At 39.3% G+C, this 13,724-nt stretch overlaps 1 protein-coding gene across 2 annotated transcripts in view, besides 1 other annotated feature; it reads right to left on the bottom strand.

Moving 5' to 3' along the window:
• Positions 1-13,724, bottom strand: part of CNTNAP2 (contactin associated protein 2) — a 2,304,198-nt gene that overhangs the window by 2,168,279 nt on the left and 122,195 nt on the right. The window lies entirely within an intron of this gene.
• Positions 3,320-4,091: an enhancer, noted in NCBI's record as "OCT4-NANOG-H3K27ac hESC enhancer chr7:145945721-145946492 (GRCh37/hg19 assembly coordinates)". NCBI's record gives its function as "activates a minimal SCP1, AML or CMV promoter by ChIP-STARR-seq in naive H9 embryonic stem cells {active_cell/tissue: H9 hESC(naive)}" and the evidence as "EXISTENCE:reporter gene assay evidence [ECO:0000049][PMID:30033119]".

The following is a 13,724-nucleotide window of genomic DNA, read 5'->3' as shown; positions in this document are numbered from 1 at the left end:
CAATGGGTATCCTAAAACATAACTGGCCTAATTCTGCATTTGAAAAGGGGCGAATATTTTGAAGAAAATGTTTTCTATTCTGGTCTAAGAGTCAGCTCTCCAAGCTTGCTTTCAGACTCTTCCTTTTTTCCTGCCCTGACTTATACTAGTTTTCAGATCCCATCCTCTCTCTATTTTCTCATTTTGTTCTACTTTGTCTACTGACACTACAGGTATTTCCGAAAACAGAGTAGAAGTGGTTTTCAGCAGGGAGTCAAGTTGCAAGTGCAAGGTCTGTCAGGGCGGTCATATAAAGGAGGAGCGACTTTCCAGAGAGACAGGCCTCTCTCTGTCCAGTAGGAAACTGGAAAGTTGCTGAATCATTTGGTGGCATATGTAATACAGTGGATTACTATTCCCAGCTATTCACCCACTTCCAGCAATGGGATTTGATATAGTCAATTATAGTTATATGAGAATTCCTGTTCATTCTATGGGAGGAATAAGCATCAGAACCCTATGAACTTCTGCCAAGTCATGTGGCTGCTTTGGCTAATGAATATGAGCAGCCATGACATTGGTATGATTAAGCAAAAGGTTTCAATGTGATTATTTGATTTGGCTCAGCCTCTGTCTCCCCTGGTATGTCCTCTGCGTTGAAAACTGCAGGATAGTGGCTGCTGCTTCACTCTGGGCTCCTGGAATCAAAAGCCCAGTGAAACTGAGCCCAGCCAACCCAAACTCACCCGGCAGTCCTCAGATGAACAAAAAGCAAATGATCTTGCTCTAAGCCTTTGAGAATTGAGATTGTAGGTTATTGCAATACAAAAGCTGACTGATAAAGAAGACCCAGACCTGAAATCTCTTATTATCACACCATAGAATCCAATGGCTTTTCTATAATAATATCAGAATATGTCCTTTCTCCACAAATTAAAACCTATGTGAAAATGTATGACGTTAAGTCTGAAGCTCTGAGTCATATATTGGATTTAAGTAACCTTTGGAAATAATCATGGAATATTAAGTTAGAAAAATGTGGCCCCTATAGCCTAAATTGTGAGTTACTTCATCCTCTGATTCATACTCTCCTCCTACCCCATTTTTCAAAGTTGAAATAATAAATTTAATTAAAATTAGCATCTATCATGTGTTATGAGGTCCTTGACTATAAAAGTTCGTAACTTCTTTGCTATATGCAACTTAGAATATCAGTCTTCAAAATAAAATTCTTAACTTTTTTATAATTCTTCATTCTTAACTATTTTATTATAAAATTACACAAGGAAAAGAGATGCATTTTAAAATTTCAGGTAACACCACATTTTGACAGCATATCTGCTTAGGTGGAAAAATGAAGCAAATTTTATAAAACATAAAACAAGGTGACATTATTAAATTTGGTATCTGTCATTAACAATAATATAATTGTAACTTGTATAAAATTAAGATAACAAAATTTATTTATACCCACAAAAATGAACCTTTTAAAAGCTAAAGTTTCAATGAATCAGGGTAATTTAATTACATCTTTTTGATTGCAATATTTTTTAAAGTTGTATGCCTTTGTCTAATGTGTAAGATTATGTTTTGTGTCATTGTGATGTTTTTATTCTGTGTAATCTGCTAGTCATAAAAACTAGATATAATATCTGATTTCTATCACCCTCTTATTTCATATTTATGTATAAGAAAGGGTCTATTAACCAAGAAAGTTTCATTGGAAAAATTGTCACTCATGCAAACAATAAACAAAATGACTCTCACAGTAAGAAAATAATGGCTATTTTGTCACCTTGAGCTCACTAAACTACAGTCTTGTTATGTTATTGAAAGACAGTATGCATGGTAATTTTATATCTTTTTACATACTTACAAGGCATACTTAAGCCCCATTTAAATGCTATCCTCCTCAATCTAGAATGAATACAATGACTCCTAATTTTAGAAATTTAAGGGCGTCAAATATGGTTATCATCAACCCACCACCAGCAGAGATACCTACACATAACCTCATCCACACTTTCTATGGCACCAGCTCCCATACACAGCAGGCCTTGCTGGATACTGGCTAGTAAATTACACATATGAGAATCATATGGGTGAAGGCAGTGAGCATAGTGATGCCATCAGTAGACACCATGGCCACGGGTAAGCAGAAGTCATGGGACAGGTTGAAGGGTCACAGAGACTGTGAAGCTGGCCATAGTAAGAGAGTGAAAGCCCTGTGCTAACTGAGGCACCACCATACCAAGATAGACAAGACACAGGTTTGTCGTAACAAGTCTGCCTTGCTCTCTATCCATGCGACCTTTAAATTATAATTAGTAAGTACTGTCCTGGCTAAAGGTCAGTGCAGTGGTGAATGGGAAACTCAAAATTAACGAGCAACACTTCGGTTGAACCACATGAAACCGTTCCTTCTGTAGGCCAAAAATGCTTCAGTATTAGTAATTTCATAGAATTCAGCCTCACATGCAGTATTAGATGCTCTACATATTTAAAGTCAATTATCATAAGAAGCCTCAGACAAAGGTACTATTATCATCTCTCTTTTAATAGCTGCTGAAATTTATTATCTAAGATGTTACTATAATTTGTAACTGAAGGTGTTACCCTGATGATATTTTAGGTTAACTTTGGGGTAATTTGTTTCTGGCACGTAATAGATTTAATTTCAGATTAATAGCTGGTGTTCTAGAATGATTAGAGTATCTTATCTCTTCAAGAGAAAAAGACGGGCAGGAATTTTAAAATAAAATGTAAGTCTTTCTAAACAATGAAGAGAAAATGTTTCACTGCATAGAGCCCTAAGACGTAGCATTCAAAATTTAAATTTCTTTTTTTCTTTTTTTCAAGAAAAGTCTCTCATTCCTTTTAATAAAAATAAGTATAATCTAAGTCTTTCTTGACATTTCTAATCTAATGAACGGCCAAGGAAATAAAATGCTATGTTTTCTGTCATTTTTCTCAAAAGGCTTTGAAATAAACTTGTTCAGTGATGACAGCGTAATAATGAAAAGTGTCTAATGAAAATAGCATTCTGACAAGTTTTCAAATACTTATGTGGAAATAAGAAAAGCAACTCATGCCATGAGAGGACTGAATGGACCAAACTTAGAAATAAAGAAAATAATATTCAAGCAGCACATAATAAGTGATATTTGTGCTGAAAGTGGCATAGGAGTAATTAGCAGAGACTTGCAGCCATATACCCAAAGCCAAGGCACAGAGAAGTGAGTGAGTCAGATAAGTTCTTTCCACACAGTCACTCACAGAGACACACAAGTGACAGTCACGTGTTCTGAGACTACTATTACAGGAAGAGGAAATACGTTTCCTCATTTCTATTAAGAGATACAGAAATAAATTTGAATTTGAAGAATTTTTTTAGCAATGGAGCTAGAAAAATTCTTTTCCAGATTAGATAACATGAAGATTTCTAGAATATTTTAAAGGAATAATAATCATGAATATTTTAATAATTATACTAATTACATTTACTGAACACTTACTGTCAGGCCTCTGAGCCCAAGCTAAGCCATCATATCCCCTGTGACCTGCACGTACACATCCAGATGGCCGGTTCCTGCCTTAACTGATGACATTCCACCACAAAAGAAGTGAAAATGGCCTGTTCCTGCCTTAACTGATGACATTGTTTTGTGAAATTCCTTCTCCTGGCTCATCCTGGCTCAAAAGCTCCCCCACTGAGTACCTTGTGACCCCCACTCTGACCGCCAGGGAACAACCCTCCCTTTGACTGTAATTTTCCTTTACCTACCCAAATCCTGTAAAACGGCCCCACCCCTTTCTCCCTTCACTGACTCTCTTTTCGGACTCAGCCTGCCTGCACCCAGGTGATTAAAAGCTTTTATTGCTCACACAAAGCCTGTTTGGTGGTCTCTTCACACGGAGGCGCATGAAATTTGGTGCCGTGACTCGGATCAGGGGACTTCCCTTGGGAGATCAATCCCCTGTCCTCCTGTTCTTTGCTCGTGAGAAAGATCCACGTACGACCTCAGGTCCTCAGACCGACCAGCCCAGTAAACATCTCACCAATTTAAAATCCGGTAAGCAGCCCCTTTTTACTCTCTTCTCCAACCTCCCTCACCATCCCTCAACCTCTTTCTCCTTTCAATCTTGGCGCCACACGTCAATCTCTCCCTTCTTTTAATTTCAATTCCTTTCATTTTCTGGTAGAGACAAAGGAGACACGTTTTATCCCTGGACCCAAAACTCCGGCGCTGGTCATGGACTAGGGAAGGCAGCCTTCCCCTGGTGTTTAATCATTCCAGGGATGCGTCCCTGATTATTCACCCAGGTTTCAGAGGTGTCAGACCACGCAGGGATGCCTGCCTTGGTCCTTCACCCTTAGCGGCAAGTCCCACTTTTCTGGGGAAAGGGCAAGTACCCCAACCCCTTCTCTCCGTGTCTTCTCCGCCTTTCTGGGGGGCAAGAAACCCCCAACCCCTTCTCCTTCACCCTGAGCGGCAAGTCCTGCTTTTCTAGAGGAGGGGCAAATACTCCAACCTCATATCTCTGCGCCTCGATCCCTTATTTCCGCACCCGGACCTCTTATATCTCTGCGCCCTGATCCCTTATTTCCGTGCCCCAGCCTCTTATATCTCTGTGCCCCGACCCCTTATTTCCATGCCCCAGCCTCTTATATCTCTGTGCCCCGATCCCTTATTTCCGTGCCCCAGCCTCTTATATCTCTGTGCCCCGATCCCTTATTTCCGTGCCCCAACCTCTTATATCTCTGCACCCCGATCCCTTATTTCCGTGCCCTGACCTCGTATCTCTGTGCCCCAACCCCTTCTCTGCTTTTCTGGAGGGCAAGAACCCCCAACCCTTCTCCGTGTCTCTACTCTTTTCTCTGGGCTAGCCTCCTTCACTATGGGCAACCATCCACCCTCCATTCCTCCTTCTTCTCCTTTAGCCTGTGTTATTAAGAACTTAAAACCTCTTCACCTCTCACCTGACCTAAAATCTAAGCGTCTTATTTTCTTCTGCAATGCCACTTGACCCCAATACAAACTCGACAGTAGTTCCAAATAGCCAGAAAATGGCACTTTCAATTTTTCCATCCTGCAAGATCTAAATAATTATTGTCGTAAAATGGGCAAATGGTCTGAGGTGCCTGATGTCCAGGCACTCTTTTACATGTCAGTGCATCTCTAGTCTCTGTTCCCAATGTAACTCATCCCAAATCTTCCTTCTTTCCCTCCCACCTGTCCCCTCAGTCCCAACCCCAAGCTTCGCTGAGTCTTTCTAATCTTCCTTTTCTACCTCTCCCCTCCTGGCCAGGCTGAGCTAGGTCCCAATTCTTCCTCAGCCTCCACTCCTCCACCCTATAATCCTTTTATCACCTCCCCTCCTCACACCCGGTCCGGCTTACAGTTTCGTTCCACCTCTAGCCCTCCGGCACCTGCTCAGCAATTTACTCTTAAAAAGGTGGCTGAAGCTAAAGGCATAGTCAAGGTTAATGCTCCTTTTTCCTTATCAGACCTCTCCCAAATCAGTGTGCGTTTAGGCTCTTTCATCAAATATGAAAAATCCAGCCCAGTTCATGGCTCGTTTGGCAGCAACCCTGAGACACTTTACAGCCCTAGACCCTGAAAGGTCAAAAGGCCGTCTTATTCTCAAAATACATTTTATTACCCAGTCTGCTCCCGACATTAAATACAACTCCAAAAATTAAATTCTGGCCCTCAAACCCCACAACAGGATTTAATTAACCTCGCCTTCAACGTGTACAATAATAGAAAAAAGTTGCAATTCCTTGCCTCCACTGTGAGACAAACCCCAGCCACATCTCCAGCACACAAGAACTTCCAAACATCTGAAACGCAGCGACCAGGCGTTCCTCCAGAACCTCCTCCCCCAGGAGCTTGCTACAAGTGCCAGAAATCTGGCCACCAGGCCAAGGAATGCCTGCAGCCCAGGATTCCTCCTAAGCCGAGTCCCATCTGTGCAGGACACCACTAGAAATCGGACTGTCCAACTCACCTGGCAGCCACTCCCAGAGCCCCTGGAACTCTGGCCGAAGGCTCTCTGACTCCTTCCCAGATCTTCTTGGCTTAGCGGCTGAAGACTGATGCTGTCGGATCGCCTCGGAAGCCCCCTAGACCATCAGGGACGCCGAGCTTCGGGTAACTCTCACAGTGGAGGGTAAGTCTGTCCCCTTCTTAATCAATACTGAGGCTACCCACTCCACATTACCTTCTTTTCAAGGGCCTGTTTCCCTTGCCTCCATAACTGTTGTGGGTATTGACGGCCAGGCTTCTAAACCTCTTAAAACCCCCACTCTCATGCCAACTTAGACAATACTCTTTTAAGCACTCCTTTTAGTTATCCCCACCTGCCCAGTTCCCTTATTAGGCCGAGACACTTTAACTAAATTGTCTGCTTCCCTGACTATTCCTGGATTACAGCTACATCTCATTGCTGCCCTTCTTCCCAATCCAAAGCCTCCTTTGCGTCCTCCTCTTGTATTACCCCACCTTAACCCACAAGTATAAGATACTTCTACTCCCTCCTTGGCGACCGATCATGCACCCCTTACCATCTCATTAAAACCTAATCACCCTTACCCCACTCAATGCCAATATCACATCCCATAGCATGCTTTGAAAGGATTAAAGCCTGCTATCACTTGCCTGCTACAGCATGGCCTTTTAAAGCCTATAAACTCTCCTTACAATTCCCCCATTTTACCTGTCCTAAAACCAGACAAGCCTTACAAGTTAGTTCAGGATCTATGCCTTATCAACCAAATTGTTTTGCCTATCCACCTCATGGTGCCAAACCCTATCCTCTCTCCTATCCTCAATACCTCCCTCCACAATCCATTATTCTGTTCTGGATCTCAAACATGCTTTCTTTACTATTCCTTTGCACCCGTCATCCCAGCCTCTCTTCGCTTTCACTTGGACTGACCCTGATACCCATTAGGCTCAGCAAATTACCTGGGCTGTACTGCCGCAAGGCTTCACAGACAGCCCCCATTACTTCAGTCAAGCCCAAACTTCATCCTCATCTGTTACCTATCTCGGCATAATTCTCATAAAAACACACGTGCTTTCCTTGCTGATCGTATCCGATTAATCTCCCAAACCTCAATCCCTTACAAAACAACAACTCCTTTCCTTCCTAGGCATGGTTAGTGTGGTCAGAATTCTTACACAAGAGCCAGGACTGCACCCTGTAGCCTTTCTGCGCAAACAACTGGATCTTACTGTTTTAGCCTAGCCGTCATGTCTGCGTGCAGCGGCTGCTGCCGCCCTAATACTTTTAGAGGCCCTCAAAATCACAAACTATGCTCAACTTACTCTCTACATTTCTCATAACTTCCAAAATCTATTTTCTTCCTCATAGCTGACGCATATACTTTCTGCTCCCTGGCTCCTTCAGCTGTACTCACTCTTTGTTAAGTCCCACAATTACCATTGTTCCTGGCCCGGACTTCAATCTGGCCTCCCACATTATTCCTGATACCACACCTGACCCCCATGACTGTATCTCTCTGATCCACCTGACATTCACCCCATTTCCCCATATTTCCTTCTTTCCTGTTCCTCACCCTGATCACGCTTGATTTATTGATGGCAGTTCCACCAGGCCTAATCGCCACACACAAGCAAAGGCAGGCTATGCTATAGTACAAGCCACTAGCCCGCCTCTTAGAAGCTCTCATTTCCTTTCCATCATGGAAATCTATCCTCAAGGAAATAACTTCTCAGTGTTCCATCTGCTATTCTACTACTCCTCAGGGATTATTCAGGCCCCCTCCCTTCCCTACACATCAAGCTCGAGGATTTGCCCCCACCCAGGACTGGCAAATTAGCTTTACTCAACATGCCCCGAGTCAGATAACTAAAATACCTCTTAGCCTAGGTAGACACTTTCACTGGATAGGTAGAGTCCTTTCCTACAGGGTCTGAGAAGGCCACCGCAGTCATTTCTTCCCTTCTGTCAGACATAACTCCTCAGTTTAGCCTTCCCACCTCTATACAGTCTGATAACAGACCAGCCTTTATTAGTCAAATCAGCCAAGCAGTTTTTCAGGCTCTTAGTATTCAGTGAAACCTTTATATCCTTTATGGTCCTCCGTCTTCAGGAAAAGTAGAATGGACTAAAGGTCTTTTAAAAACACACCTCACCAAGCTCAGCCACCAACTTAAAAAGGACTGGACAATACTTTTACCACTTACCCTTCTCAGAAGTCAGACCTGTCCTCAGAATGCTACAAGGTACAGGCCATTTGAGCTCCTGTATAGACGCTCCTTTTTATTAGGCCCCAGTCTCATTCCAGACACCAGATCAACTTAGACTGTGCCCCCAAAAAACTTGTCATTCCTACTATCTTGTGTCTAGTCATACTCCTATTCACCGTTCTCAACTACTCATGCATGCCCTGCTCTTGTTTACACTGCCGGTTTACACTGTTTCTCCAAGTCATCAAAGCTGATACCTCCTGGTGCTATCCCCAAACTGCCACTCTTAACTCTTGAAGTAAATAAATAATCTTTGCTGGCAGGACTATGCTGAACCTCCTTAGGCACTCTCTAATCAGATGTCCTGAGTCGTCCCAATTCTTAGACCTTTTATACCTGTTTTTCTCCTTCTCTTATTCCATTTAGTTTTTCAATTCATACAAAACCGTATCCAGGCCATCACCAATAATTCTAAATTACAAATGTTCCTTCTAACAACCCCACAATATCACCCCTTACCACAAAATCTTCCTTCAGCTTAATCTCTCCCACTCTAGGTTCCCACACCGCCCCTAATCCCGCTCGAAGCAGCCCTGAGAAACATCGCCCATTATCTCTCCATACCATCTCCAAAAATTTTCGCTGTCCCAACACTTTAGCACTATTTCGTTTTATTTTTCTTATTAATATAAGAAGACAGGAACTTACAATCACAAGTAAGCTGTGCTTTATTTATTCCTCTGTAATCTCACTTAGGACTCATTCTAAACTGATGAGATTCATATTAATAATCCCATTCAGAGAGGAAGGAGCTTGAAAGAATTTAATGGATTTTACCAGAGATTAAAAAACCATTAAGTTACAAAGTTCAAATTCGAACCCACATCTATATCCAAAATTCATGATTTTCACCATTAAATATTTTCTTTGAATAGAAAAAATTAATATTTAAAATAAGTAAACACTATACAACAAACCCCAATATTTTGCTTTACAAACCATGTGACTGATCAACACATGTTCCTCCTCTCTGTTTTGTAAAACTTTTTCACTACTTCCTTTCAAATCAGAAAGTATTGCCCAAAAGAGAAGATCTGGAAATGTAAGAATAAAATCAATAAAATGGTCTGGTATTAACCTACGAATAGACAGACCAATCAACCAGAAATGGCAATGCAAAAATATAACCTGTTATATATGTAGGAGTTATATTGTACAATACATAAATAATTAATATAAATAAAGGAGAAATAATAAACTAAGGAATAAATATTAAGATGAGACAATAATTGGTACTAGGAACCTGAGGTATTTACTTGAGAATCAATTTTGATCGCCACGTTGCACAACTGAAGAAGTAATTTTTGATAGATTAATAATCAAATATAACTAATCAAATAATGAAATGGAAAAAAACTAGATTACTAAACAGCTTTGGTGGAGGAAGACTAAAAAACAGAAATCACAAACAAAAACAAGAAAGAATTTCAAAAATAGAAACATCCATATGTCTAAAAACAGCAAAAATAAAATTGAGAGAGCACAAAATTGTTAAATAGATATATGTTCTTAAAAATATTTGTGTAGATTTGCAGCTCATCCAGCTTCTTGAAATTATTACCTTTCTCTAAGAGGCACAACTATCTTTATTAATTGAAAGATGACATCATCTTCTAAATGTGCTATCATTCTATAATGTAGTTAAGAAAATGAAAGCAGGGTGATATGTAGTGTTATTTTATGATGAATTAATTTTTTATGAAATAATATTTTAGGATGGGCTAATACACTGATATTTGTGTTCACTTTACTCCAAAAATAAGGTCATTATCAAAGTTAATCAATCCAATATCAAAAGTTTGTGCAGAGTTTCTGAATAGTTTTCAGATAACTAATGTCTCTAGATTCTTAATTTACTCTATTTGGGTATCCATGTTTTTAGGGTTTGGTTTTGTTTTTTCTTTTTCTCTCCTTTTTTTTTTTTGAGACAGAGTCTCACTCTGTTGCCAGGCTGGAGTGCAGTGGCACAATCTCGGCTCACTGCAACCTCTGCCTCCTGGGTTCAAGCGATTCCCCTGCCTTAGCCTCCCGAGTAGCTGGGACTACAGGCACAAGCCACCACGTCTGGCTAATATTTTTGTATTTTAGTAGAGACGGGGTTTCACCATGTTGGCCAGGCTGGTCTAGAACTCCTGACCTCTTGATCAGCCCGCCTCAGCCTCCCAAAGTGCTGGGATTACAGGTGTGAGCCACGGCGCCCGGCCTGTTTTATTTTTTCTCATTTTCTTCTGCCCTGAATGTGTTAAGACAAAAATCAATTTGGATAGATTGTCAGTTTTATACCTGGTATTTTATCACCAGTTCAGTGATTTTACTCAATACTTACAAAAACAATGAGTGAAACATTTCACATGCCTTATCACAATTAATCCTCACAACAACCTCATGAGATAAATTATATTATTGAACTCTTTTTATAGCTCAAGAAATTGACATGTGAAGAAGTTATGTAATTTTCCCAAGTCATATGCTTTTTAAATGGTGGAATAAAATTTCAATCCTATTTTGTTCCAATTCAGTGTGAGCAAACTTAACCATATTTTCCCCATTAGGCTTCTAGGTAGTATTTTTATCTTAATAGAGTCTTTTCATATATATATGTTTGTGTGTGTGCGTGTGTGTTTGTGTGTGTGTGTGTATAGGTATATATATAATTTCAAATTTTAGGGAGGCTGTAGGATTCTTCTTAGAGTTATGGATTGACTTTAAACTTGATTTCTTGAAAATGTTACAAGTCTTATTACACCAGGAAAAAACTATGGGCTATGATTCTCTATCATATCTGAACCATATTTCACAATTTCCTCTAATATTTAGAAATAGATTTGTGGAAGGCTGTCTTTCTAAAAAAAATGTCACATTAATGACTTAGGCATCTTCATGCAATGAGTTATTATAAGTCTTGCATGGTCTTTTTAAGTTAGTACAGTGAAGAGTTCAGCAAATTTTCAAGATAATTTGATGGCTAGAGGAAAGAAAATTTTACTATGAGCAAACAGCCATGCTTGTATGTATGTGTTCTTGTGAACACAATGGTTACTGTTGTCTGGCTAAATAAAGCTTATTTTTATGTGATGGCCTATATAGACTAGTTTAATCCTTGTCAACATGACTCAGTATCTCCACTAGGGTACAGGTCTGTATGAAAGCTTTTGTTTCTTTAGACACACCTCATTTTAGAGGACTGAAGAGACAGCAAGGAGGTTTGAAGTCTACACATATATCTAAATGCCTTACCTCCTGATGTAGTTTGGATATGTGTCACTGCCTAAATCTCATGTTGAATTGTCATCCCCAGTATTGGAGGTGGGGCCTGATGGGAGCTGAGTGGATCATGTGGGTAGTTTTCTCATGAATGTTTAGCATTACCCGCTTGGTGCTATCTTGGCAATACTGAGTGAACTCTCATGAGATCTGGTTGTTTAAAAGTGTGGCACTCCCCCACCACATTCTCCCTTACTCTTACTCTTTCCATGTGATGTTCAAGCTCCTGCTTTGCCTTCTGCCATGAGTAAAAGCTCCCTGAGGCCTCCCCAGAAGCTGAGCAGATGCCAGCACCGTACTTGTACAGCGTGCAGAGCCATGAGCCAATTAAACCTATTTTCTTTATAAATTACACAGTCTCAGATATTTATAGCAAAGCAAGAACGGGCTAATGACATTTCCCAACACTCTTTCATACTGCAGCCCTATGCAAATAGCAAACATTAGTTCTAAACACTAAATTTTACAGATGAACCACTTTATGTAGAATTAGTTGTCTTTAGTTCAAATCCTGGAATTTGTGAATTCTAATTTTTCACACTTAATTTGAGAAAAAATGTCTACCTCCTAAGGTCACTGTGAGAAGTGATAATATAGATATATAATTATATATTATATGCATTTAATGTACATAAGTGTGAGGCATTATTATTATCATTTATATATAAATATATTTAATGTACATAAGCATAAGACATTATCATTAAATTATTAATTAGCAAATATGGTTCTGATTAATATTTTTCATTAGAGGAATGCTTCTTCTCTGAAAAAAGACTCAATAAACCTTTATTTCAAGGTATTAATTTTTCTATATTAGACCTAGCATTTATTTATTCATATATGACTTATAGTTCATTTGATTTCTGCAAAGGCTTAAGGTAGCTTACACTGCTAAAGGTATATAAAACAGAACAGGAAATAATATGTAGATAAAATTCTACTATAAGTAAAATAGAGGTCGATGCACTGTTATCCAGTTAACCTAGATAAATTCATTTCTGTGCCTGAGCAAAAAATTTAGGCAGGAGCTTCATGGAAGCCAAAGGAAAATGTGAAACCCAATAGTTAATACAGTTTCTATTATTTAAAAGGAAATAAAACAAAAGTTATACATAGCAGGTGTTCAATAAACTTTATTACAATGGATAAAATGGGTTATATAAGATATTCTGATGTTAATTTTTACATTGCCCCTTTATAAATCTAATGAAAAAATAAATTATAAACCAATGTAGACAGATCCATGAGAATTTATAATATATTTTAGTTTTTAAAATTTTATTTCCATTAAACCAATTCAGATAACTTACAAGAAAGATTAATACATATTTCCCTCAGATGTGTTGCATCTCATTTTGGCAAATGTTGGAAGATAACCTGGTTCAGTTTGTGATTTGGTTTTCTAGTGCTTGCCTGATATGTGATATTTACAAGGTGCATTCATAAAATGCTCAACTTTGACTATAAAACACAAGTATCAGATTTACCAGGGTTGATTTGAAATATACATAAGTATAAGACATTATTATTAAATTATTAATTTGAAAATTGATTTGAAAATTAGGAATCTGACATGCAATCTGTCCATACACAGGATAACACAGCACTGAGGTAGGCTGGAGGGAAGTCAGATGAATGTGAGAAGATTGAAACAGTGTCTATACATCAGCACTTAGTGGGATTCTCCAGGTTATCCTATCAACTATCACATTATTTTTTTACTGAGAAAACTGTGCCTAAGGGTTCACTAACTGCGACTATTTCAGGGTTATTAGGCTGGTCCTCTTTCCTGTAAAGCTGTTGGTATTTTAACCATTATATTTTGCTGTGGAATGAAAAACTTTGCTTTTTATCCACGGAATGCTAAACCTCAGCAGAAAATAAGAAAGAATTTTGACTTGAAAATAGATCACCAAGGAGCACTATTATCCATTTATGTACAAAGCCGGAGCTGCAGAAAAATAACATCAGGGGGGAAAATGCCACTGGCACCACAGAATAGAACACACAATTAAAATTACCTATATTCCAGCATTACTAATTTAAGAGTAATCATTGTTGCTACTCACAATTCTGTGAGTTTTGAATCTAAATTGTTCCAAACACATATCTACCCTAAACTACAACATTTTCCTAGAGATATTATTGGCTGCTTTAGCATGTGATATAGTTTGGCTGTGTCCCCACCCAAAATCTCAT

The sequence above is a fragment of the Homo sapiens genome, chromosome 7 (genome assembly GCF_000001405.40).
Source record: "Homo sapiens chromosome 7, GRCh38.p14 Primary Assembly".
NCBI lineage: Eukaryota > Metazoa > Chordata > Mammalia > Primates > Hominidae > Homo > Homo sapiens.
This window is presented reverse-complemented; position numbering and strand designations above follow the sequence as displayed.